General features: G+C 40.2%; 1 pseudogene, besides 2 other annotated features; it reads left to right on the top strand.

Annotated features, from left to right (window-relative positions):
- Positions 5,013-5,307: an enhancer, noted in NCBI's record as "tiled region #4431; HepG2 Activating non-DNase unmatched - State 24:Quies, and K562 Activating DNase matched - State 5:Enh". NCBI's record gives its function as "activates a minimal TATA promoter and a strong SV40 promoter by Sharpr-MPRA in HepG2 and K562 cells {active_cell/tissue: HepG2 | K562}" and the evidence as "EXISTENCE:reporter gene assay evidence [ECO:0000049][PMID:27701403]".
- Positions 12,974-14,224, top strand: ATXN7L3P1 (ATXN7L3 pseudogene 1; annotated as a pseudogene).
- Positions 22,943-22,992: an enhancer, noted in NCBI's record as "active region_29721". NCBI's record gives its function as "activates an Ori minimal core promoter by ATAC-STARR-seq in GM12878 lymphoblastoid cells {active_cell/tissue: GM12878}" and the evidence as "EXISTENCE:reporter gene assay evidence [ECO:0000049][PMID:35858748]".

Below are 26,864 nucleotides of genomic sequence, written 5' to 3'. Positions count from 1 at the left end.
TCCCCACAACTGTTTTCTCCGGTTATAAAAGATCTCCAGATGGAATCTTTTTTTTTTTTTTGTCATTGACCAATAAGTAATGGGACTAGACCCTGATAGGCATTGATTCTTGTTAAATTGTTTAGCCAAGATGACTTGAAAGAAGTGTTCTTTTCTTTCTGCCAGACAGACTAGGCATGTTTGATGAGTCACATCATTCAGATTCAAACACTTGTGTTTAAATCCAATATTTACTACATTTGCTTCAGTCTTGGAAGAAAATATTGGTCAATATTAGTTCAAGCTAAATGACAACTGGATCCATATTGTAAAGTTGGCTCTCGCTGTACTATTAATTGATTTTCTGCCTCTTGTCTAAAGATCAGTTAGCAAAGACAGCTACAGCCTGTACAAAATTTTAAAAAGTATAAACATCCTTTTCTCAATTTTGTTAATCTTTCAAGATATACGTTTTTTTTTTTACCTAAAGTGTTTAACTTAATCTCTAAGAATGATTGGCTGAAAAAGACATCAGTGTTTTCTCTTCCTATCTAGAGTCTAAGTTTAAAGAAAAATGAAGGAGAGAAAACTCCACTTGAAGCCAAAGGAAAAAGAGGTACAAAAGCATACTTGTGGAGGAATCAGAAGACTTATGTCTTAGTCCCAACTGCATGGTTTACTATCCAGATGACCCTGGGCAAGTCACTAAACTATCTGAACCCAAATCTACTCTTGTGTAAACCAATGATAATACTAACTGCTTTTCTTGCTTTGTGAGCTTTTGTGAATATTAAGTAAAGTAGAATATGAAAAGGCCTGAAAACTACTATATAAACTTAAAAGATAACATATTATCATGTCTCTGATTTTAAGACAAAAATTAGAAAAATAAAATAATCAAACAGATGTACTGTAAAATGATGTTGGGTTTTTCACATGACATCCAAAGAAGTTCTGTCTCAGAAAATAGTTCCTTTGTTATTTACTAAGCCTAGTCCTCCACAGTCAGCTTTAGATTTTTATAAGAAGTGCATCCTGCAAAGATCTATATTCTAAGATGTTAATGCTATTCCTAAATCCAAAACAAGATTTTGACATAACTATATCACAGATCTTTATTCTTCTCCTATAGAAGCATCAAAAGAGTTGAAATAGTAGATATATTAAGGAAGGCTGATAGTAGCATCTAAGACCAGAGGCAAGAGTGCATTATTCATAGTTAAAATGTCCTTCCAGATAGGGAGAGATTTTGTAAGGGATACAAGGTAGCTAGATAGGAGGAATAAGTTCTAGTGTTCTATACCACTGTAGGATGACTACAGTTAACAATAACACATTGTTTAGTTTCAAATAGCTAGAAGGAGGATCTTGAACTTTCCCAACACAAATAAATGATAAATGTTTGAGATGATAGATATGCTAATTACCCTGATCTGATCACAATACATTATATGTATCAAAACATCACTATGTACCCCACAAATATGTACAATTATTATTTTTCAAAAAATGTATTAGCCTCTGACATACTTGGGGAAAAAAGAAAGTAAAATAAGGTTTTAAAAAGACATTCCTCCATAATGCTGTGATGTATTTAACAGTGTAAGACTTGTGAATTATACTTTGTCTTATTCCCTGTCCTTCCACATCATGTATAACACAACACTGCCTCCACAGACAAGCAGATGGTACAAAACATGAAAACTCTCCTGCCTTCCCTGTTAGATGAGGTGCTAATAAGAAACTCTGGATAAAAACTTTGAAACTCTAATGACCTTCTTTTGGATGATCTGAAGAACCCATAAGATGTCTCATCAGATTTAGGTGACCATGATTATACAGGCCTAAATATTTCTTGCCAAACATTTAGGCCTGTATAATCATGGTCACCTAACATTTTCTTTTTTTTTTTTTATTATACTTTAAGTTTTAGGGTACATGTGCACATTGTGCAGGTTAGTTACATATGTATACATGTGCCATGCTGGTGTGCTGCACCCACTAACTCATCATCTAGCATTAGGTATATCTCCCAATGCTATCCCTCCCCCCTCCCCCCACCCCACCACAGTCCCCAGAGTGTGATATTCCCCTTCCTGTGTCCATGTGATCTCATTGTTCAATTCCCACCCATGAGTGAGAATATGCGGTGTTTGGTTTTTTGTTCTTGTGATAGTTTACTGAGAGTGATGGTTTCCAATTTCATCCATGTCCCTACAAAGGACATGAACTCATCATTTTTTATGGCTGCATAGTATTCCATGGTGTATATGTGCCACATTTTCTTAATCCAGTCTATCATTGTTGGACATTTGGGTTGGTTCCAAGTCTTTGCTATTGTGAATAATGCCGCAATAAACATACGTGTGCATGTGTCTTTATAGCAGCATGATTTATAGTCATTTGGGTATATACCCAGTAATGGGATGGCTGGGTCAAATGGTATTTCTAGTTCTAGATCCCTGAGGAATCGCCACACTGACTTCCACAATGGTTGAACTAGTTTACAGTCCCACCAACAGTGTAAAAGTGTTCCTATTTCTCCACATCCTCTCCAGCACCTGTTGTTTCCTGACTTTTTAATGATTGCCATTCTAACTGGTGTGAGATGATATCTCATAGTGGTTTTGATTTGCATTTCTCTGATGGCCAGTGATGATGAGCATTTTTTCATGTATTTTTTGGCTGCATAAATGTCTTCTTTTGAGAAGTGTCTGTTCATGTCCTTCGCCCACTTTTTGATGGGGTTGTTTGTTTTTTTCTTGTAAATTTGTTTGAGTTCATTGTAGATTCTGGATATTAGCTCTTTGTCAGATGAGTGGGTTGCGAAAATTTTCTCCCACTTTGTAGGTTGCCTGTTCACTCTGATGGTAGTTTCTTTTGCTGTGCAGAAGCTCTTGAGTTTAATTAGATCCCATTTGTCAATTTTGGCTTTTGTTGCCATTGCTTTTGGTGTTTTGGACATGAAGTCCTTGCCCACGCCTATGTCCTGAATGGTAATGCCTAGGTTTTCTTCTAGGGTTTTTATGGTTTTAGGTCTAACGTTTAAATCTTTAATCCATCTTGAATTGATTTTTGTATAAGGTGTAAGGAAGGGATCCATTTTCAGCTTTCTACATCTGGCTAGCCAGTTTTCCCAGCACCATTTATTAAATAGGGAATCCTTTCCCCATTGCTTGTTTTTGTCAGGTTTGTCAAAGATCAGATAGTTGTAGGTATGCGGCGTTATTTCTGAGGGCTCTGTGCTGTTCCATTGATCTATATCTCTGTTTTGGTACCAGTACCATGCTGTTTTGGTTACTGTAGCCTTGTAGTGTAGTTTGAAGTCAGGTAGTGTGATGACTCCAGCTTTGTTCTTTTGGCTTAGGATTGACTTGGCGATGCGGGCTCTTTTTTGGTTCCATATGAACTTTAAAGTAGTTTTTTCCAATTCTGTGAAGAAAGTCATTGGTAGCTTTGCCCAAGGTAATTTACAGATTCAATAACATTTTCAACACTAGGTGTTGCAAATCCTATTGAAAGCTTCAAGCCCCAATTAGCCACAGAAACCAGCTATTCCCTTTGCTCTTTCTCAACCCTCTTGCCAACTTTATTGAGGAGTCTACTAAAATTGACCCATCTGTTTGAATTTATTTTTAGATCCTCCTCCCAATCCAGCTTCCTTCTGGAAAATACACAGGACTCAACTATCTTTGAGTGTCTAATGTATTTCCCTCCATTTCTTAACCTCTGTACTTTAAAAATTGTAGTTAAAATTGTTACCTCCTGGTACCACAACAAGTTTTCATGGCTGGGATGAAATTCAGACCATATATAGAAGGTTAGGAATACCTCAAAGTTGGAGGGGATTTAAAAAACGTTTTAAATCAACATTCTTCCAATACCTTATTTGAGTCTAGAACCAAAATTTCTGTTAAATACCATATGTTATAGCAGTTTTCTAAATAATTGGCAAATCCATGTAGCTTGATTTTGCTTCTAGCAAATGAGCTATATCATTCCAAGGTTTCTTGGGACAGTTAGATCTGTTTTTGGAAAGCAGTAGTGGCTCACACTTGCAATCCAAGCTACTTAAGAGGCTGAAGCAGGAGGATCACTTGAGTCCAGGAGCTCAAGAGGAACCTGGGCAACATAAGAAGACGCCTACCTCAAAAAAAACAAAAAGCAAAAAAGAAAGAAAGAAAAGAAAGGAAAGAAAGAAAGAAAGAAAGAGAAGGAAAGAAAGAATGAAGGAAGGAAGGAAAGAAAGTTTTTTGTTAATAGTCACGTGTCACTTAACAACAGGGATACATTCTGAGAAATCCATTGTTAAGCTATTTTGTCATTGTTTGAACATCATAGAATACACTTATTTAGTATAGGGAATACTTGCAAATGTGCAAGATTTTAAGTTTTGAAAATGAATACAAGGTATAGATCATCATGGCAGATGGGAGGAAGGACTAGATTGCAGTTCAGACTCTGACGGACAGAGCAGTGTGCAAAGGCTCGCATTGTGAATTTTAGCTCCAGATTGACTGAAAGAATAAAACAGCAATCCCAAAGGAGCCACAGATCTGCTGAAGGAAGCAGACTGTTCCTGCAGGACCTGGGAGACACCCCAAATATTGTGAGTCCCCCAAAGGCAGAAGTGGGAAAGGGGGAACCTCCTCTCCCAAACACACACCCCTGGAGAAATGGAATGTCTGTTTTCGAAAGAAGTTTCTGACCTTACCTGGAGCTGAGTCAATTTAGAGATCCAAGCAAAATACAGGGGTAGAGGAAGCAGCACAAAGGCTCTGGGAGCTTGCTGGGTCCCCAAGCAGGCCATTCCTGCCTGGGACCACAGGGATCCATCGGGAGGGTGGCCAGAGGAGCGGGACCAGATGGTGAGGAAAACACCACAAGGAGAAGGAAATCTCCAGCTGAACTTCATAACAATTTGGATAGGGCGAGAAACCTCCTGGCCAGAACTCAGGGAAGGGTGTGAATCCGGTGTGCAGACTCCACAGGTGGAGGAAGAACCAAGCCCTTTTCTTTTGTAGCTGGGAGGTGGGTAGCCTGGGGCAAGTGCCTGGCTCACCCACCGCCTGGAAACAGACTTGGGGTTGCTAGAGGGGGCACGGTGGGAGTGAGACCAGCCCTTTGGTTTGCATGGGAGCTGGGTGAGGACTGTGACTATGAGCTTTCCCCCACTTCTGTGTCAACTTGCATGAGTCAGCAGAAGCAGCCATAATCCTCCTATGTACACAACTCCATTGACCTGGGAGCCTCATCCCCATCGCCCACAGGGCCACAGTAAGACCAGCCCAAGGAGAGTCTGAGCTCAGAAGTGCCTAACCCTGCCCCCATCTAATCGTCTTTCCCTACACACCCTGGTAGCTAAAGACAAAGGGCATATAATCTTCGGAATTCTAGGCTCCCCCCTCGAGGCTGGTTCCCTTGCTGATGCTCTCTGGAAAGTGCCACCTCCCGGCTGAAGGACAACCAGCACAATAATAGAGCATTAAACCACCAAACCTAAGAACGTTCATGGAGTCCATTGCACCCCCCTGCCACCTCCACCAGAGCAGGCACTGGTATCCATGGCTGAGAGACCCATAGATGGTTCACATCACAGGACTCTATGCAGACAACCCCCAGTACCAGCCCAGAGCCAGGTAGACTTGCTGGGTTGAAAGACCCAGAAGACAGACAACAATCACTGTAGTTTGGCTCACAGAAAGCCACATCCATAGGAAAAGGGGGAGAGTACTACATCAAAAACACACTCCATGGAACAAAAGAATCTGAACAACAGCCTTAAGCCCTAGACCTTCCCTCTGACAAAGCCTACCCAAATGAGAAGGAACCAGAAAACCAACTCTGGTAATATGACAAAACAAGACTCTTCAACACCCCCCAAAAAATCACACTAGTTTACCAGCAATGGATCCAAACCAAGAAGAAATCCCTGATTTACCAGAAAAAAAAAATTCGGGAGGTTAGTTATTAGGCTAATCAGAGAGGCAGCAGAGAAAGGCAAAGCCCAATGCAAGGAAATACAAAAAAAATAGCACAAGAATTAAAGGGAGAAATGTTCAAGGAAATAGACAGCTTAAAGAAAAACAAAAAATTCAGAAAACATTGAACACACTAACAGAAATGCAAAATGGTCTGGAAAGTCTCAGCAATAGAATTGTACAACTAGAAGAAAGGAATTCAGAGTTCGAAGACAAGGTCTTCAAATTAACACAATCCAACAAAGACAAAGAAAAAAGAATAAGAAAATATGAACAAAGCCTCCAAAAAGTCTGGGATTTTGCTAAACAATCAAAACTAAGAATGCTCAGTGTTCCTGAGGAAGAAGAGAATTCTAAAAGCTTGGAAAACATATTTGGGAGAATAATTGAGGAAAGATTCCCTGGCCTTGCTAGAGACCTAGACATCCAAAAACAAGAAGCACAAAGAACACCTGGAAAATTCATTGCAAAAATATCATCACCTAGGCACATTGTCATCAGGTTAGCTAAAGTTAAGACAAAGAAGGAAAGAATCTTAAGAGCTGTGAGACAGAAGCACCAGGTAACTTGTGAAGGAAAACCTATCAGATTAACAGCAGATTTCTACAAGCTAGAAGGGATTGGGACCCTGTCTTCAGCCTCCTCAAACAAAACAATTATCAGCCAAGAATTTTGTACACAGTGAAACTAAGCATCATATATGAAGGAAAGATACAGCCTTTTTCAGACAAACAAATGCTGAGAGAATTTGCCACTACCAAGCCACCACTACAAGAGCTGCTAAAAGGAGCTCTAAATCTTCAAACCAATCTTGGAAACACATCAAAACAGAACCTCTTTAAAGCATAAATCACATAAGACCTATTAAGCAAAAATACAAGTTAAAAAGCAAAAACAATGAACAAAAAACCAAAGTACACAGGCAACAAATAGCATGATGAATGCAATGGTACCTTGCATCTCAATACTAACATTGAATGTAAATGGCCTAAATGATCCACTTAAAAAAATACAGAACTGCTGAATGGATAAGAACTCACCAGCCAACTATTTGCTGGCTTCTAGAGACACACCTAACACATAAGGACTCACATAAACTTAAAATAAAGGGGTGGAAAAAGGCATTTCATGAAAATGGGCACCAAAAGTGAGCAGGGGTAGCTATTCTTATATCAGACAAAACAAACTTTTAAGTAACAGCAGTTAAGAGAGACAAAGAGAGACATTGTATAATGATAAAAGGCCTTGACCAAAAGAAAAAATACCACAATCCTAAACATCTATGCACCTAACACTGGAGCTCCCAAATTTATGAAACAATTACTAATAGACCTAAGAAATGAGATAGATAGCAACACCATAATGGTGGGGGACTTTAATACTGCACTGACAGCACTAAACAGGTCATCAAGACAGAAAGTCAACAAAGAAACAATGGATTTAAACTATACCTTGGAACAAATAGAATTAACAGATATATACAGAACATTTCATTCAACAACCACAGATTACACATTCTATTCAACAGTGCATGGAACTTTCTCCAAGATAGACCATATGATAGGCCATAAAACAAGGCTTAATAAATTTAAGAAAATTCAAATTATATCAAGCAGTCTCTCAGATCACAGTGGAATAAAACTGCAAATCAACTCCAAAAGGAACCTTCAAAACTATGGAAATTAAATAATCTGATCCTGAATGAGCATTGGTTCAAAGACGAAATGAAGATGAAAATTAAAAAATTCTTCAAGCTGAATGACAATAATGACACAACCTATCAAAATTTCTGGGATACATCAAAGTTGGTGCTAAGAGGAAAGTTTATCGCCCTAAATGCCTGTATCAAAAAGACCAAAAGAGCACAAACTGACATTCTAAGGTCACACCTCAAGGAACTAGAGAAACAAGAACAAACCAAACCCAAACCCAGCAGAAGAAAGGAAATAAGCAAGTTCAGAGCTGAACTAAAGGAAATTGAAACAAAAAAAAATACAAAAGATAAATGAAACAAAAAAGCTGGTTCTTTGAAAAGATAAATAAAATTGATAGACCATTAGCAAGATTAACCAAGAAAAGTAGAGAGAAAATCCAAATAACCTCATTAAGAAACGAAACAGGAGATATTACAGCTGACAATACAAAAGATTGTTCAAGGCTACTATGAACACCTTTATGCACATAAACTAGAAAACTCAGAACAGGTGGATAAATTCCTGTAAAAATACAACCATACTACCTTAAATCAGGAAGAATTAGATACCCTGAACAGACCAATAACAAGCAAAGAGATTGAAATGGTAATTTAAAAATTACCAACAAACAGAAATCCAGGACCAGACAGACTCACAGCAGAATTCTACCAGACATTCAAATAATTGGTACCAAATCTTTTGACACTATTTCACAAGATAGAGAAAGAAGGAACTCTCCTTAATTCGTTCTATGAAGCCAGCATCACCCTAATACCAAAACCAGGAAGGGACATAACCAAAAAAGAAAACTACAGACCGATATTCTTGATGAACATAGATGCTAAAATCCTTAACAAAATACTAGCTGACCGAATCCAGCAACATATCCAAAAGATAATCCACCATGATCAATGTATACTGCTCAGGTGATGGGTGCACCAAAATCTCACAAATCACCACTAAAGAACTTACTCATGTAACCAAATACCACCTGTACCCCAATAACTTATGGAAAAAAAACTTTAAAAGATAAGAATTAAAATTAAATAACATAAAATGAATACAAAACTTCAAGCTGTTTTCAAAGAGATCAGTTTGTACTGCTTCCCCACTCTTTTACTTCCACCTGCTAAACTCCCCTTACATGTTTACTCATTTTATTCTCCTTTTATTTCACGAAGTTCTACATGTGCTTCCATAGCCTCTCCAATAAACTTCAAAGGAAAGGAAGGATTTTGTCATTGCTTTCAGTCAGTATATCTTATAAAAAACACATTCACTTAAATATAATGTTTACACAATGTTTAAAATTCTCAAGAAAGTCCAGGCTTCAATTTACCCAGGACTGAGCTTTTGATATGCAGGAATGAACCTAGCATACTTCAAAAATTGAAAGAACTATGTTGTCACTACAGTGTTGCTTCAACATGTTACATAAAGTTAACAAAGAACTTAGCATGCATTTCATAGGGTCCTCTTCTTTTGGATAGACTGGACCCTGTGAAAAAAAAGGAATACAGCTTCTAGATCACATGTTCATGTAGGTATAGAGACTGTAAAACAGACATATGTATGAACTTGTGTTTTAATTATTTTTTGCACTTCAGAAAAAATCTCCTAGACTGAGTGCCCTGTGGTTTTATGGTAAAAACATCACAGAGTCATATGTATCACAAAGTAGCATGAGCAAAAGTGATCTGGATTTATAGGTAGTTCTATGATAACCAGAGAAGTAGACATTAAACTTAGCCTTTAAAGGCTGTGGAGAGTTTTAAAGACATAACAGAGAAAGCACTAAAGGTGAGAATAGCATAGCTGGAGCAGGAGCTACAAATAGGATCAAAGAGGTGGATGAATTAGGCCAACTAAGGTGGTATCTCTAAGTCCATAGTTCAGGAGGACTTGATATAGCAAATGAGTTACATCATTCCAGGGTTTCTTGGGACAGTTAGTTAGATCTGTATCAGTAGAAAGCAGTCAAGAAGATCTGAGGAGTAAAATGATATCAAACTGCCATGCTATATAAATAATCAGACTGTAGTTTGGATAGCTTTAAGAATCAAACATTTATAAGTCTACCAAATGTTCTGTGTTTTCCTAGGGCCCACAGCCCATACTAAAAAGGTAATGAAATAATCAGCATAATTTGCTACTAGCCTCAAACCAAATGACTGAGGAGTCTTAATGTTTACCAAGTGAATATTAAACCTTGGCTTTTCCTTGTTTGGGAAATATTTTTTTCCAAATCCTATCACTACATTGCTTTAGACAGCCTATAGAAGAAAAAGCAATCACGGTGCTGAATGGTATGACCACCACAAAGTAATCTGGGTAAATCGTCCTGGTGCCAGATCACTAAGTAAGTTTCAATAATGTAGGCCTTGCTTCTCTTCTCCCCTGAAGAGCCATGGTCCCTTCTCCTAAGCCAAGCAAGTACCAACGTCTTTCATGGACGTTCTTATCTGGGCATATGTCTGAGAAAAGGTAAAATAATCCATTGGACAAAAACTCAGTTATGCAGTGGGCTGTAACTTCCCCCAAATTAGAAACACTATGTACATTCTGAAAAGTATAAATAAAATATATTATTAACCAACTTTCTTAGTGAAGACTAGGAAGCTACTAACAGCTGCCCCTATAATTCAGAATTATGAAAGAATTCATCTCATAAAATGGAAAGCTTTCAAACAAATGCTTTAGCTCATTTTACTTTGCCTGTGCTCATGGCACTGCCCTTCAGAAATGAGTACTGGTAGATGTGATTTTAGAACAATGGAGGAAGATCTCCATGCCTTTTCCAAGACACAAGCTCTTTAGGCAAAAATTAGTCTTTGCTGACTGCTTGACTGTTGAGCTATTGTCCAAGACAGAGTACAATGAAGAAAGTAGTAAAACTCAAGAACTCAAAATGTAACAAACCACCATTTGCTTTTCTATTGCTCTGAGTTCTTTCATTTAACAAATATTTGTTGAGTGCCTACTCTGCACCAAGAACTGGAAATATAGTGGTGAACATAACAGGGTCCCATACCTCATGAATTTTAGTCTCTAAAAGGAGTCAACACAAATATATAATTGTTTTAAGTGCAAAGAGAAAAGGTGAAAAAGGAGATTTACTTATTCATTGTCAGTTCTTAACCAGACTGTAAGTTCAAAGAGCAAGTATTTTGTCGTGTTCCCTTTTCTACTTTTGTATCATCAGTGCCTAGAACATAGTAGTCAGTCCCTCAATATATGTTTATTGAATGAAAAAATGGATAAATGATCAATCAACTATCTGTTGAGTAGAGGGAAACATTTCATAGTGGTTGGATAAAACTACCAATTTTTTTTTTTTTTTTTTTTTTTTGAGACCGAGTCTTGCTCTGTCACCCAGGCTAGAGTGCAGTGGCGTGATCTCGGCTTGCTGCAGCCTCTGCCTCCCAGGAGTCTCCTGCCTCAGCCTCCTGGGTAGCTGGGATTACAGGCACATGCCACCATGCATGGCTAATTTTTGTATTCTTAGTAGAGACAGGGTTTCACCATGTTTGCCAGGCTGGTCTCAAACTCCTGATCCCAGGTGATCTGCCCACTTCGGCCTCCCAAAGTGCTGGGATTACAGGCGTGAGCCACCATGCCCAGCCAACTACAAAATCTTGAGACAAAGAAATGCCTCTCCATCAATGAAATTTCTAAGACAGATGCTCATTTTGGATTATTCCACTTAGAACCAAGAAATATGCCTAAGGCAAGTGCCTGAAATAAAGCAAGAGTCTATTGTACTTCTTCTAGAGAGCCTGAACCTATCCTTTTGGAGAGCCTGAACCTATTTTATTTTGGAAGCCATGTGCAGGCTAGACAAAACAGTCTACCTTTGTTTGTATAACTGAAATTCTATTAACAATTTCATATTTTTTCCAGTCTTCCAATACTAATTTCTTTCTTTAAATATATATACATATTTGTTCCACACTGCTGTGCTGACCTGCAAAAGTGACAACTCAATCGGAATATTGCCAGACATTTCCCATTCTAATGTTTTTTTATCTTAGCCTAATAAATATATTTATTGCTTGTTTTATGAGATGTATAGATTCCAACAAAGTTGCCTATAACATTAAATTTATTAAAATAAAACTTTAGGTAACATTGGTTCCCATTAAAAAAATAAATAACAGAAGGAATTCATAGGGTAGGAAACTTATCAAAGAATCAAGTAATATGATGGTTTCCCTTTGAATACTGGATAGTATTACGTCCAAATAATAGGGCCTGCTGGGGTGGGAGGGTATTTTGTATCTGTTATCTAATTTCAGGCTCTCTCCTTACCCTTTATCCCATTTAGGCACTGTTTCAAATCATAAGAATTCTTCCTATGCCTGGCGAGTCCCTGACCCTACATTTGATCACACACTCATCAAGGATAGTATTTAAGTTTGATTTCCCAGAATAATATTACGTATGCCCATACCAACAAGTGGAAAGGAAGAAGAAATGGTAATTTCTGCAAATGTTGCTAGTTATATCTCTCATCACAGTAACTCAAATGGCATCTAGGTGGTTCTTAACCTTGGCTGCACATTGAAATCAGATGGCGGGCTTGATATGGTTTGGCTCTGTGTCCCCACCCAAATCTCACCTCGAATTGTAATAATCCCCAAGCGTTGTGGGAGGTAATTGAATCATGGGGGCAGGTCTGTACTGTCCTCCTGATAGTGAATAAGTCTCATGAGGTCTGATGGTTTTATAAAAGGGAATTCCCCTGCATATGCCCTCTTGCCTGCTGCTGTGTAAGACGTGCCTTTGCTTCTCCTTTGCCTTCCACCATGATTGTGAGGCCTCCCCAGCCATGTGGAACTGTGAGTTAATTAAACCCGTTTCCTTTATAAAGTACCCAGTCTCAGGTAGGTCTTTGTTAGCAGCATGAGAACAGACTAATACAGAGCTCTAAGAATACTGATGTCCGGGACCTACTCCTAAAGACTTTGATTTAATTTGTCTGAGGTAATATCTGGATATTTGAACTTTTAAAAGTTTTCCAGGTGACTCTAAAGTGTAGCCAAGATGGCCCAGAGGACTGTGCGGGGACGGGGTAGGTGAGGAGGAGGCGGTGATTGGATAAGAAGGGAGGGGAAGAGGCCATGGCTGCCCGGTGAGGTGGTGAGGCAGAAAGGAGGCCAAACCCCCAGCTGGGCCTCGGGCCCCAGGGAGAGGTGAGAATGGACCAAAGGACATAGGGTTCTTGAGCAGCCACCCCCAGAGAATGCTTCCCTGAGAGGCTACCTGACCACCCCTCTCCTTCTCCCCACTCCCCATCCCTCCTTCACCCCCCACCCCCGCCCGCCTGCTGTGCTATCAACAGTCAGAGCGCCCTCTCCACAAGAGTTTACAAAAGAAAATGGAGGAAATGTCTTTGTCTGGCCTGAATAACAGCAAACTAGAGGCCATAGCTCGGGAGATATAAGCGGACCTAGTCTAGAATTCTTGTTCGGGATTCTGCTTTGAGGTACACCAGGCTGTCATGTGTGGCTACCTCTTTCTGGATGACACAGACCCTAATAGCATGAAGGATATTGGTTTTCAACCAGTGGAAGAGCAAAGAGTGTGTTTGCCCCAACTGCAACTGTAGCATTCCTGCCTCCCGTTTTGCTCCCCATCTGGATAGGTGCCTGGGAATGGGTGGGAATAGCGGCCGAATCGCCATCCACTGGATTGCCAATAGCAACAATATGGGCAAGTCTGAGAGTGACCAAGAGGATAATGATGACATCAATGACAATGACTGGTCCTATGGCTCAGAGAATAAAGCCAAGAAGAGAAAATCAGGCAAGAACCCCGATTCCCCTCGAAGATCTGAGTCTTTGAAACACAAAAATGGGGAACTTTGTGATTTGATTTTTTGTAAGTATAACAACTCAACTGGGATCAGCTACGAAACCTGGGGCCAGAGGAGCTTCATATCCTGCTAAGCATGCAATGTAGGATGATTTCTGAAGATACCAAGAAGATGTGCACAAAGTCCCTGCACTGCCCACAGCACACAGTTGAGCAGAAGTGAACCTTGCAGATGTATTTCTTCAGGGCCTCAGCTGTCCATCCAGAGGTGGAGAGCTCCCAGGATAATGACAGCTTTGACATGACTGACAGCCAGGCCCTGATCAGCCAGCTTCAGTGGGTCTGCTCCTCTGATCTCTCACCCTGTGATTCAGGCTCCCCCAAGACGAGCGAAAATCAGGGATGGGGTCTAGGTACCAACAGCTCTGAGACACAGAAAACCAAGAAAAAGAAATCCCATCTGAGCCTGGTAGGGACTTCCTCCGACCTGGGCTCCAACAGGAAGAAGCCAAAGCTACCGATACCCCCGACGGCCAGCATCTATGATGACATCAACTGACTTCAGTGCAAGAGATAGCCTTTGGCTGAGCAGAGCCCTCTCTCCTGATCCCCACCCAGGTGCCATAGCCTGGCAAATGGATGGCTGCTGGGGGTTGGGGCTTGGGAAACTCGGTGGGCCAGGCAGGCAGAGGATCTGATTATGTGCCCCTGGGGGATGTCAAGGTCCTCTACAATGGAGCACAACTCCTCGGCATGCAGGACTCAGACCTGGACATATGATGCTTTGGACATAAGTGTGGTGGGGAGGCGGTTTTTCTATTTATTCTGTGAGTTACTGAATGTCCAGCTAGGCCAGGGGCCTGAACTGGGCACTGTGCCAGGGCACTGCCTATCTCCCACCATAGGAACTGGACTAAGCCCTGCTGAGGAGCAATGTAGTGGCCCGGGAGGCTGTGGGTTGGAAGCTGAGCCTGGAGGGGGCCTGCCCTCGTTGCCCTCAGCAATGTGAATGGATCCAGTACTTGGAGCTGAGGGGCAAGGATGGGCATGCCCTGTCTGTGAGAAGAGTCCTATCAAATGTCCCCAGTCCCAGGGGTGGGCAGGCACAGAGTACTCTCTGCTGAGGTGAGCATCCGGAATTGCCACCACCTTACCCTCCCTTCACAGGGACAGCCCTTTCCCCTTAGTCCCCATGGGCTTCCTTGGCAGCAGGAGCTGTCCTTTTGTTGTTGGGTGTCAAGAAAGGGCCTCCAGCCTCTACAGCTTCAAGGAATGGGAAACAGAGGATATGAAGAGGGAGCTGTGTCAGAATTATTCCCCATGACTCTCCTCCCTGACCCAGGGCTGGTGAGGAGTGCTGCCCCAAGGTGAGAGGGAACTGTGTTGCTTTATTTGCAATGTTTTCTTACCTCATTCCCTGCCCCAGGAAGGGGCCCAGCCTCACTCTCCTGGGGTGGCCCTGTGTTCCTCCTACCCACCCTGCCCCACTGCCCTACCAGGGCAGCCCAAGTCCCCAACTGCTGCTTGCCAACCCGCTTCACCTTGACTGGCTTGTCTTCCTATCTCAGTGCTCCTGCCTCGAAAGCCCCCCATTTCTCTTCCTTAGTGCTTTTAAGTTGTTTATTCTGTACTTGTGGTTTGAGACTCTGAGGGAAATCTTAATCTCGTGCCTCTTCCCCCTTTGCTAGGAGTTATGTGGGAAGAGAGGGTGGCCTCTGTGTTCTGGGTTGTCAGTGGAGGGGAAGGGGTATCATTGCCCTTCTGTGGGACTGTCAAATGCCAGTGTGCCCACCTGCCTTGTCTACATCCTGAAGAGATATTCCATCCCCCCTCTATGCGGGCACCACTACTCCCAGGAGCCAAGCTGGAGGACCACAACCTGGGCTGAGAGCAGAGCTGACTGACATGGGTAGAGGTGATCCTGAGCCAAGTTCTCTGGCACTTGCTGGACATGTCCCCTGCCCTCTTCCCAAGAGGAGTCATCCTACATTTGGGTAGTTAGTACCCAGGATTGGTTGGACTGATCAGGTTAGGGATCCTAGAGGGTTAAGGGAACAACAGAGATGGGGCTACAGCGCCCTGTTTGGAACCCCACTGTCCCCCTAGGGTGATTCTGATGGTGTCTGATGCCTGGTTACAAATCAGTTTTTTACCCACAAATTGTGATTATTTTTTAAAAAACAGATTTTAGCGGAAGTTAGAATAAATCCTGGGGCCTGGGCTCCTCTGTTCTTGGCCCCATAGCCTTCTACCTCCGAGGGAGGCCAGAGATAGAGGAGAATCTCACCAGCCCTCCAGCCTCCTTCCAGATGCAGTCTTGGGAGTAGGCTGAAGGTGAAGGGAGGAAGGCTATGGGTTACTCTCCCTTCTGAAAGGCAGCTGCAACTCAGGCCATAATACACCCTTTTCTCTCCTCTTTCCTCTTTTTCCCCCTTCTGGTTAGAGGAGGGAGAAGTGGGAAGTAGTTTGGGAACTGGTTTGTCCACATAAACTTCCCCATTGTTTCTTGGCCCACCCTCAGGGCAGAGTCCCCTGCCTAGGCTGGGTAAGAAATGGGCTTGCTCCAGCAGGGACCCTGAGGGAACAAACCCTTTTCCTTCGGAAAAAAGAATTCCCCCTTACCATGTAGTTGAACAGTGGCTAGGAGCTTCCCACTCCCCTCCCTCTTACAGCAGGCTGTGTAGACTTCAATTCCTATCCTTCCCATCCCAGCTAGGTGTCATCTGCCCTTTGTCTGTATCCTATCATGTGTCTGAGTGTGTGTGTGGGGGGGGGCGGGGGAGGGGTTGGGGGTATGATTATGTGCTAATTTCCATGGCCAGTGGCTTTTCCTTCCAGGCATCACTCCCACCCCCCCACCCCCACATACTCAGGGGCCACCGGCCTGGCATTACCACATGCTGGGGTGATTGAGGGAGGGGAGTGGAGCTTACGCTGTCCTGTCATCTTGAGACTTTTATTTTTGCATATGTAATTCATTCTGTACAGGTAGCTAACTCTGTAAATGCTATGTATTCCCTCTGCCCCCATGGCTGCTTTTGTAAATAAACTGCATCTCCTGTTGGTAAAAAATAAAATAAAATAAAATAAAATAAAATAAAATAAAATAAAATAAAATAAAATAAAATAAAAAATAAAGTGTAGCCAAGACTGAGAGACACTGTTTTACACCTTTGATTAATTTGACACCATCAGAATTGATAATGGTGACTGCTTGGATCCATAAATTTGAGAACCTACCCTGAAGTAGTAGGAACCAAACCAACCCTTAAAGCTCCATCAACCAGCAGCAGCATGGACATGTGCCCAACATAGCATGAGAAGTACACATTTCTTCCAAGTACCAGAAAGATATAAAGTGTTTATCAGGCCTTTGGAAAAATGAAGTGCTCTTGAAAATGTCACATATATATATGTAACATATATGTTTTACATATCAGTGATATATAACTCTCACTTCAAGAGATTATAGCAAAGGAAGACAGCCAGATGAAAATACTATTAACTGAATTTTTCCTTGGAATAGCTTCCAAAATGGAGATGAGCAGCAGCTGCATTTGAGTTAAGTGATTCATGTATATTGAAAAGGTAGCATCTACTGTTTGACACTTTGCACCTCCTCACATGGCTCAGCATCAGTACAGTTCCATTAAGCCAGTTTGCCCCAGGTATCTCGGCCTTTAGATCTGCATGCCTGTTTAGATCTGCTGGCACAACCTCAGTAGTGCCAGCCAGGAACAGTCTTACAAAGTCTTACAAAGAATCATATTAATTAAATTTAATATTTAATGTCAACACTCTTCATCTAGGTGACAGTGACCAAGTCAATGAACGATGTGCAAATGGTGGTGACCTCTGCAACTCTGGCACTTTGGTGACTCCTTGTAAGTCTGTCTTGTTTATTTCCACATGTCTTCTCTGTTCCACAGTTACACACATTGCTACACCACCCTAGTTGCTCCATGGGAGTGAAGGGCTGATTTCACTATTAGGTTATTCAGGACATTTTTCCACCTAAGTCAGCACACCCTCAGTGAGTGCTTGAATTTCCCAACTCCGCAGTCATGGGGTTGACTATAACAGCTTACTAGAATAGTTAGTACTTAGGAAGAAAACCTAGTAAGTACTCTCAAAAAGTGTTCTGGGCCATGAGACCACGATCTGTAAAATAAGGCTAATGGAACTGGGATTATATACTACAGAGAAGAAGGACTTGGGGAGGGAGTACTTGGGGAAGGGGATATCTTTGCAGTCTGTAATATTGGAAGCTATGCCAAACAACACCTTATTTGGCACCTGCTAAGACTATAATGGGCTTAGTTGCCATGGATAGATGACCTACACTGGGAGGCTTTTTTTTTTTTTTTGAGTTGGAGTCTTGCTCTGTTGCCCAGGCTGGAGTGCAGTGGCACGATCTCGGCTCACTGCAACCTCTGCCTCCCAGGTTCAGCCTCCAGAGTAGCTAGGACTACAGGCACATGCAAACATGCCCGGCTAATTTTTTTTTTTTTTTTTTTTTGTATTTTAGTAGAGATGAGGTTTCATCATGTTGCCCAGGCTGGTCTTGAACTCCTGAGCTCAGGCAATCAGCCTGCCTAGGCCTTCCAAATTTCTAGGATTACAGGTGTGAGCCACCACGCCCAGCGGGATTTTTCTGATTCCAAAATTGAAGGTGATCTCTCTCCTTTCTACCCCTGGACTATTTAGTATATATTACAGGGCACTTACTATGTGTGGCCTAAAATTCTAGTTAGTTGTCATGTGTCTGTGTTTTACTCTGGATTTTGGGTTTCCTGAAAGCAGTAATGTTTTGTACTCATTTTTGTATTTCCAGTGCCAGCTCAGGGTCAGGCACAGAGTAGGCATGTGGGAACTAAATGAATAACATGAACAAAAGAATACATTCCCTAGCAGTGAGCAGTTTTATAAATTGGACAGTGCTTTCAAGAAAACTTGTAGAGTCTTATTCCTTGGAATATATGACCTCTAAATTTTACATGGCAGATTTGACTCCTATTTGAGTACTACAAAGGAAGAAAATTAACTACAAGATCTTAGAATGTTTATACATTCACCCATTCAATAAATATTTGTTGAGCTCCCAAGGTTTCAAGCCTATTTCTAGGCACTTGCAACATACCAGTAAATGAAATACACAAAATCTCTACCTCATAAAGCTTATATTCTAGCAGATAGTAAAAATTAGAAGTAAATTATATTTATGTTTCCTACTTTTATCTGCCCGTCTACTGCATAAGTCCAGGTTTAAGTCCCCAGATAATAAAGCCAGATCATGAGGAGGAGTTGATGAAGCATTTTGAGGACTGAGAAAAGATAATCAAAATAGAGTGTTTGGGACACATTTAAACATAAATTTGAGATAGGTAGGCCCAAGAGAAGACATTTGTAGTAGTCCAGCTGTGAGCTACACAGACCCTCAATGAGAAATTTGACTATGAAGATGAAGAGGAGAATAGCACAATTAGGCACCTGAAAGATGGGGCAAAAGAGAAGGGAAGAGTATCTAGTACCTCCAAGATTAGCTACAAGGTAACAGAAAGTATAAGCATAGGAGCAGAAGTAAATTTAGAACATTTATATTGATTGTGTCCACAGGGTATGTTTATTTGTGTCCATTTCAACATTCCTGCTCCAGCTGGGTTTTGTCAGCTTTTGCCACTTCTGCTTTGCTCCCAAACCAGTAAGATATAAGAATTTAGTTTGCTCAAGGGTTCTCAACTTCTGTGGTCAGTGAAAGTCCATGACCTAGCAGGACACACAGCTACTCTTGGCTCACCCCGGAAATATCCCAGGACAGAACATAGGGGGTTCCACTTCCACTTTCCAGTCCCTAAAGCAAAGAAACAGTCTGGGTGTGTGAAAGGCAATGGCTGTGCAAGAGACTAAGGGATGTACCAGAAAAAGTTCACTCTCCACTTGAATTAATCTGGACAGTGTTGTGCAATATGAAAGAGCACAAATTTGGAGTCACACAGAACCTGGTAAGATTCATGGTTCCACGATGTGTGACTTTGGGGAAGTTAGTTAACTTCAGAGACTCTGCTTTATCTATAGAGTAATAATAACTGACAGATTTGGGATAATGCATGTAAAAATGCTTCAGTTTCCAGTAAATTTTAAGAATAGAGATCTAAGGCTTTCCCTATCTGGGGAGCTCCTTTGTAGGTTACCAGATATTCTGTTCCTCATGGGGAGGTTTAATACAGTTTCTGCTCATCTTACTTGCTACTCTGACAAAGTCACCAAACCATTATTTGAACGTGGATTGTCAATCTTCTTACCTTCTCTTCTGATTTTAGAAACAATGTGTAAAAATTATTAAAAATTGTAGTATAAAGCAAAATAACTGATATTTATTGCTTACATTTTAAATAACTGATATTTATTAGTTACATTAGTTATCTTCAAGGTAACTTTATGAAATACATACAAATTTTAGCCCCATTACATATGAGAAAATGGAAACCAACTTATATAAGGCCTCATGCCTTAGTAATTAGAAAATCTAGGATTAAAACTCAGTTTTCCTTTTTTGTTGAAACTGAAAGTCCCCCATAAACCTACCCCACAGAAAACAATTTGTTGTCTGCCCTTCACAGAATTTTTCTATGCATATATTAACCTATATTTTTCAACAAAAATGGACTCATACATTCTTGTTTAAATTTTACTTTCTTCATCTATAATATGTTGTAGGCATCTTTCTGTATGTGTACATATAAAACTACCCCCATTCTTTTTAATAGCTTTGTAGTATTCTTCAGTATATTGATGAACTAACATTTATTTAAGCGATCTTTTATTGATAGGCATTTAAGTTGCTTCTAAGTTTTCCATATTACCATCGATGATGCAATAAACATCTTGTATTTCATCATACACTAGTGTAAATGTTTCTGTTGAATAACATCCTAAAACTTTAATTGCTCAGTAAAATTTTTTTATCTTAATAGGTATTATCAAATTACTTTCTAGAGTGGTGGCAACAGTCTAAACTCCAACCATCCCTGTATGAAAGTGTCTTTTTCCCTACACCTTCAACAAAAATGGGCAGCATCAATTGTTTTTATACTTTGGCTATTATAAGTGAGGTTTAGCATATTTCTATGTGTTCACTAGCCAAACATATTACTTCTGGTGCAAATTGTCTCCTGAGTGTTCATTCTTTCATTAGTTGACTTAAATTATTCTTACTTATTTGTAGATGCTATAATGTATAATGGATATTTTATGGTATTTTCAAATGCATTCGTTTTGTCTGATTATTAAAATTGTACATTTTAATTGTAGAAAATCAGAAAATGGAACAAAGTAAAAAGTACAAAAGAAAAATTATTTTAGGTCTACCAATTAAAATATATATCTGATGCATACTTGAAGAAAATTATAAAAATAAATTATTAAAGAAAATATATGATTATTAGAAAAATTTGAAAATACAAAAAATTATAAGAAAAAAATTAAACATTATCTGCAAGCTCGTCATACTTTTAACCTAGTTTGGATTATGGCTTATGTACAATTTCATATTCTGCTTTATTACTTAACAGTTTATTACTTAAAAGTTTATTACTTAAACTTTTTCCCAAGCCATTAAAACTTTTTCCAAAACTGTAATGAATTTTTCAACAGCTTCATTGAGATATAATTTATAGAACATAAACTTTACCCACTTAAAGTGTACAGTTCAGTGGTTTTTAGTATATTCACAGAGCTGTGTAACCTTTGCCATAATCAATTTTAGAATATTTTCACAACTCCAGAAAGAAATCTTATACCCATTAGCAGTCACTTCCCATTTTTTCACTGGCCCTAAGCAGAAATTTATCCTAACCCCATGCAGCAATAAACCTACTTTATGACTCTAGATTAATTTGCCTATTTTTTGGAGAACTTTTAATGCTGGCTTATTTGTTTCCACCTACTAATATGGGCATGGATGCCTTGAAATCCTCCAGATAGTATGTGCTTAGGGAAAGCAAACATAAGATTAGTACAGCAGAAATGTTATTACATTTTTTGTATTACATGCATTTGGGTATAGCATAGGTCAAATCCTGTCCTGAAGAAAACAGCTGCCTCACATCTGGGGTCTGCAGTCTAGCAAACTAGTCAAGGCTAGAGATGCTAAAAATGAAGTTATTCAACTGTACAAAAGTCGTCCTGCTTCACCCTGAACTTCCATTTGGAACAACCTCCTTATTTGCTCTTAATTCTTCCTATAAAAGACCTACACTGATGGTGTGCATAGTCCCAGGTACTCAGGAGGCTGAGGGAGGAGGATTGCTGAGCCTAGGAGTTTGAGGCTGGAGTGAGCGGTGGTCATGACACTGCACTCCAGCCTGGGAAAAAGAGGGAGGTTCTGTCTCAAAAAAAAAAAAATGGAAAAGGAAAAAGACCTACCCAATCCTCAAAGTATACTGGAAATGCCATGACCTACCCCCTCAAAGCCTTTCCTGACTCTGAGGGGAATTTGGATCTTTGTTTCCTTGTAGTTTTATATTAGTTTAACCTCCTAGGATAGTACCTTCTACATTCAATTTGGTTATACCTAACAGACGGAACCTGACACATATGAGTCCCTTGGCTGGGCCTAGAGTTACAGAGATAAAACTCATAGTACAAGAGTCAGTATTGGATAGTGGTAGCCAGAACATGGACTCTATCCTTAAACCGTATAGGTTCAATTCCCAGCTCCATTTCAAATTAAATTTGGAGCCCAGGCCTTGAGCCTTACACGCTTTGTAAAATGTGAATAAATTAGTACCTTTCTCATAAAGCTACTATGAAGGAATGAAGGAGAAAATTTTTGTAAGGTCCCTAACACAAGCCTGACATACACAGTAAGTACTCGAGTCTTTTGATGAAATTAATTGGATTTAAATTGAAAGTCCATTTAAGAGGAACCAGGAAAAAGGCTTGCAGGCTTAGCCTACCAGGGATCTTCCTAGGCTGTTGTTTGTTGAACTCTCCAAGTCAGTAGGTAGAGTGGGTGGAAGTAGGAAAATGACAAAATTTTTTCAGTTTATGTATCACATCCACCCACTCACAGCCACAACTGTCTCACTTCCTCTTTTTCTGTCACCTTAAAAACCAGAGCTCAAAAAACACTGCTTCTTATTGTTCAATCAAAAATAAGGGCGGTGGCATATAGTTTATTTTTTGTTTGTTTTCCATTCTGCATGCATGCATGTAACCAATGGATCCCAGCTTGATTTTCAAGTACACTCTTGGTTGTTTTAGTTGACTGATTAATACTATTAGCTTTTCACTTCAGAGAGAGCAACTAGGGCTCAGTAAGGACAAAGCAGCTCCACTCTGTCCAGTCTAGAAATGGCCTCTCCCAAATGCATTTTTGAGGGTAATTTCTTAGAACCTGCATAATTAGAGGATGTAGCAGCACGAGTGGCAGTGTGATGTAAATAAAGGTAGTCTGGGTTCTAGTCCTACCTCTGCCACTGATCTTCACTGTGTATCATTAAACACATTCTATTCCATCACTAAGCTTCATGTTTTTCCCCTGTGAAGTCAAGGCGAAGGAGGAGGACTCATTGTGGTCTCAAAGGGTCCTGTAGGCTCTGACTTTCTGTGATTTTAAGTATGGATCTAGAATTGGTGGTGAAGGAGAGAGTTGAGTGCCACATAGAACTCTCAGCTCTCCATCCTTAGATACCTGCTTCTTTCTGCACTTTCCTATACTGAGGGATATGACAATCTCCCATGGCTTCACCATCACATGTCTTTGAATGATTGTCAAAGTTCTCCCTCTAGGCATGATCTCCCCTGAACTCCAGTCCTACCTTCTTCACCCTATGAGGACATCTCACTGCAGGAGTCCCATCATCTCTGTTTCCACATGGCTAATCCCAAACTGTCTTCTGCTAAAAATAACCCCTCCCCTTGAACACTTTCTGAGCTCTGTTTATGGCCTTATTGTTGCCCAGGACAGCCATATCTACAACATGAGTAGTATTTATGCTTTCCACTTAGCCATGATTCACTCTGCCACATAACCAAAACCTAGTCACTCTTCTTTCCACAGTCTCTGGCATCCACCCCTTATACTCTGATTTCACTGTCACTGTCCTGCATTTACTCATTTGTTGCAAATCCAGACTGGTACCCCTGCTTCTACTCTTGCTCATCTATATTCTACAATAGAGAAGTAAGGGCAATCCTTTTAAAACACAAATAAGATTGTCTCATCCTCCTGTTCAGATCCCTCCAATTGTTCCTTATCTCAGAATAAAAGTTAAAATCATTTAAATGCCCTACAAGAACCTGCATAATATACTCTCCCTCACCCTTTTCCGTTCCCATCTTATCTTCTCCCAATTTTCTCCTTCACTCCCTCTGCTCCAAACCCACCTCTTTGAACATTCTAGGCATGTTCTTGCCTCAAAGTCTTTGCGCTTGCAGTCCTCCATGCCTGGAATTATCTTTCCTCAGATATCTGCTAAGCCTACTCTCATATTTCATTCAGGTTTGTTCAAATATTATTTCCTCTGAGAATACATGCTATCTCGTTACTCTCTGTATTAGTGTTACATCACTGTCATAACAAATTAGAACAACTTTACTGGCTTAAAGCAACATAAATTAACCATCATACAGTCCTGGAGGTCAGAAGTCTGCCATGAATCATATTGAGCTACAATGAAGATGTCAGAGGACTGCATTCCTTTCTCTAGGGTCTAGGGCAGAATCCATTTATTTGTTCTCTCAAGCTTCTAGAGGCCACCCCTTTTCCTTGACACATGTTTTCCCTTCCTCCATCTTCAAAGTTAGCAGTGTTACACCTATTTGTGCCTTTCTCCCATAGTCACATTTCCCCCTACCTAACTGACTCCTCTGCCTCCCTTTTCCACTTTTAAGGACTCTTGTGATTGCAGTGGACCCACCTGGGTAATCCAAAATAATCTCCCTATGTTAAGGTCAATTGATTTGCAACCTTAACTCCATCTGCAAATTTAATTCTCCTTTGCCATGTAACCTAACTTATTCACAGGTTCTGGGGATTAGTATACGGACATCTTTGGGGGTTTAGTACTCTGCCTATCACACTCTTACACTGTCTATCCCATAGCTCTGCTTTATTTTACTTCATGGTACTCATCAACATTTGACATATTATATACAATATACATATTTGTTAGCTAGATAGACATAATCAAGAAAATCAAATCTTTCTATGAAGCTTGTTAAAATATTTCCCCTTCCCCAAGACAATCATTTTCAACTTTGTTAGCTGTTTTTTTTTTTTTTTTTTGGCCAGTGTTTGACTTCATATCTCTGAATAACATGCTCATATTGCTATTGTTATTCTTAAAAATCTAGCTCTAATTCACTCCCTCACCTCTATTCACCCAAGTCCTGCACATACATATATGAGTATTTCCTGTCTTCATATTCCACAACTTATTATTAATAAATAAATTATTTATAGACAATGTTGGTGGTGAGAGCAAGATTCAGTGTTTATGTTACTGGTATATCATGGCTGAGCCATATAATATATAATTATATAATGATTGATTTTCCTTTTGATATTTGCTTGGTTGTTTTTTAAACTTTTTTCTTTCTATTAAAATTTAAGTTTCATGTCTGTTTCTTTATTACTATATCCCCCAGGACCTAGAACAGTGTCAGAAACATCAAAAGTGCATTATATGCATTTATTCAATACCTATTATATGCCTGGTCTTACGTCTAGGGTCTTGTAAATATCTTCATCATGGCTTCTTTCAAACTACCAACACAATGTCACTAAACACAGAGTTAGGAATAAATTCACACAATCAGCTCTTAGAATTTAAGTTGTCTCTAGTACACCATTGGTTGAAATCCAGTCACCTAAATTTCTGTCTATTCCCTTCCTCTTCCCTGCTACAGAACTCCTAGGGATCCCCAGAACATAGGTTGAAAATCCATGGGTGAATATGACACCTTTAGAGTATAGATGGGAACACTGAGGCCTAGAGAGGTGAATGAACCCGGGTCTCCTAATGCCCATTCCCATGCTCTTTCCACTGCATTATACAACCAATAGTCTAATTAGTCTCTCAGTTTTCTGCTTCCAATTTCCCCATCCTATTCCATTGATATTCTGCAAACAGATTTGGTCCTAAGAAGCTGCTTTCAACCGCAGCAGGCCCCCGTTTCACCATAGAAGTTTCTACGGCTCCCATAGAAGTCTTTAAGATCAAGTCTAGGCATTTTGGCCTTATTTTCAATACCCTCCACAATCTGGCTTAGCTTTTTCTTCTCCTGCCTTTCTAAATATACACCAAGCTAAAGTCCAACTGACTCTCCCTGTTCATCAGAATCATTCTTGCCTTTGATTGCCTCTGGACTTTGGCTCTTTCTCTACCACTTACCTGGAATTTTTCCCCATCCTCTTTGCCTATCCAATGCTAACCAAATCTCACATCCCAGCCCACACTCCAGCTCCTCTAGAAAGCTTTCCTAAACCACTGAAGTCCATAGGGATTGCTACCACTTCTCAACTCCCATTGTACAAAACAGTTTCTGCCATTCCTTTGTCCCTTAATATGTAAGGCCTGTTATTGTTAGTTTTCTTCTAAACCCTCATGTTTATCTTTCTATGTATTTTTAGGTTGATGTTTATATGTGTATTTCTCTGTATATGTATGTTATATCTGTGTTTTTATTTAAGTGTTCATATGTTTATATGCATGTATTATCTACCTATGTCCTGCTTAAGTGTATGAATCTGTGTTTCATTGCTTGTTTTCTCATGTCTATGTGCAGGTCTATGTGTATTTGTGTGTTTGCATGCATATTTTGTGTGTCTGTGCTTACATGTCTCTGTGTGTATATTTTGTGTGTTGTACATCAATGTGCTCACGTTTGTGCTTAAGGCCATATTATATACATATGTATAGCTATACACAAATGTGTGACCATATGTATCTGTGCATTTATGTTTATTTGTAGTACTTATAGGGGTGTGTGTGTGTGTGTGTGTGTGTGTGTGTGTGTGTGTCCTTGAGCAGGGCCTGTGTGGATTTACTCTTTGTACCACTGCTTCCCTCCAACTCAGTAAGCCCAAGGTGCACATACACACAGGAGGGTCTCAGATAATGTTTACACATTGATAAATTTCTCCAACCTGACCTTTCAACCTTTGTCTAGAAAGGTGGGCTATGGGGGTAGAAATAGACACAGAGCCACAGTGACCTCTGAATATTGGGCCTCAAAGGGTGTGAGTCATTTTCTCTGCTGCTCACCCACATTCTGTGAACTCCTACCACATGCACAGTATCATCTCATGAAGCACTGAGCTTGAAAATAAGAAAAACGTGGACCCCTTGAATTAAAGTAACTATCCATCTCTCTCCTCTTCAACCACTTC

This window comes from Homo sapiens, chromosome X, assembly GCF_000001405.40.
Source record: "Homo sapiens chromosome X, GRCh38.p14 Primary Assembly".
Classification (NCBI taxonomy): Eukaryota; Metazoa; Chordata; class Mammalia; order Primates; family Hominidae; genus Homo; species Homo sapiens.
This window is presented reverse-complemented; position numbering and strand designations above follow the sequence as displayed.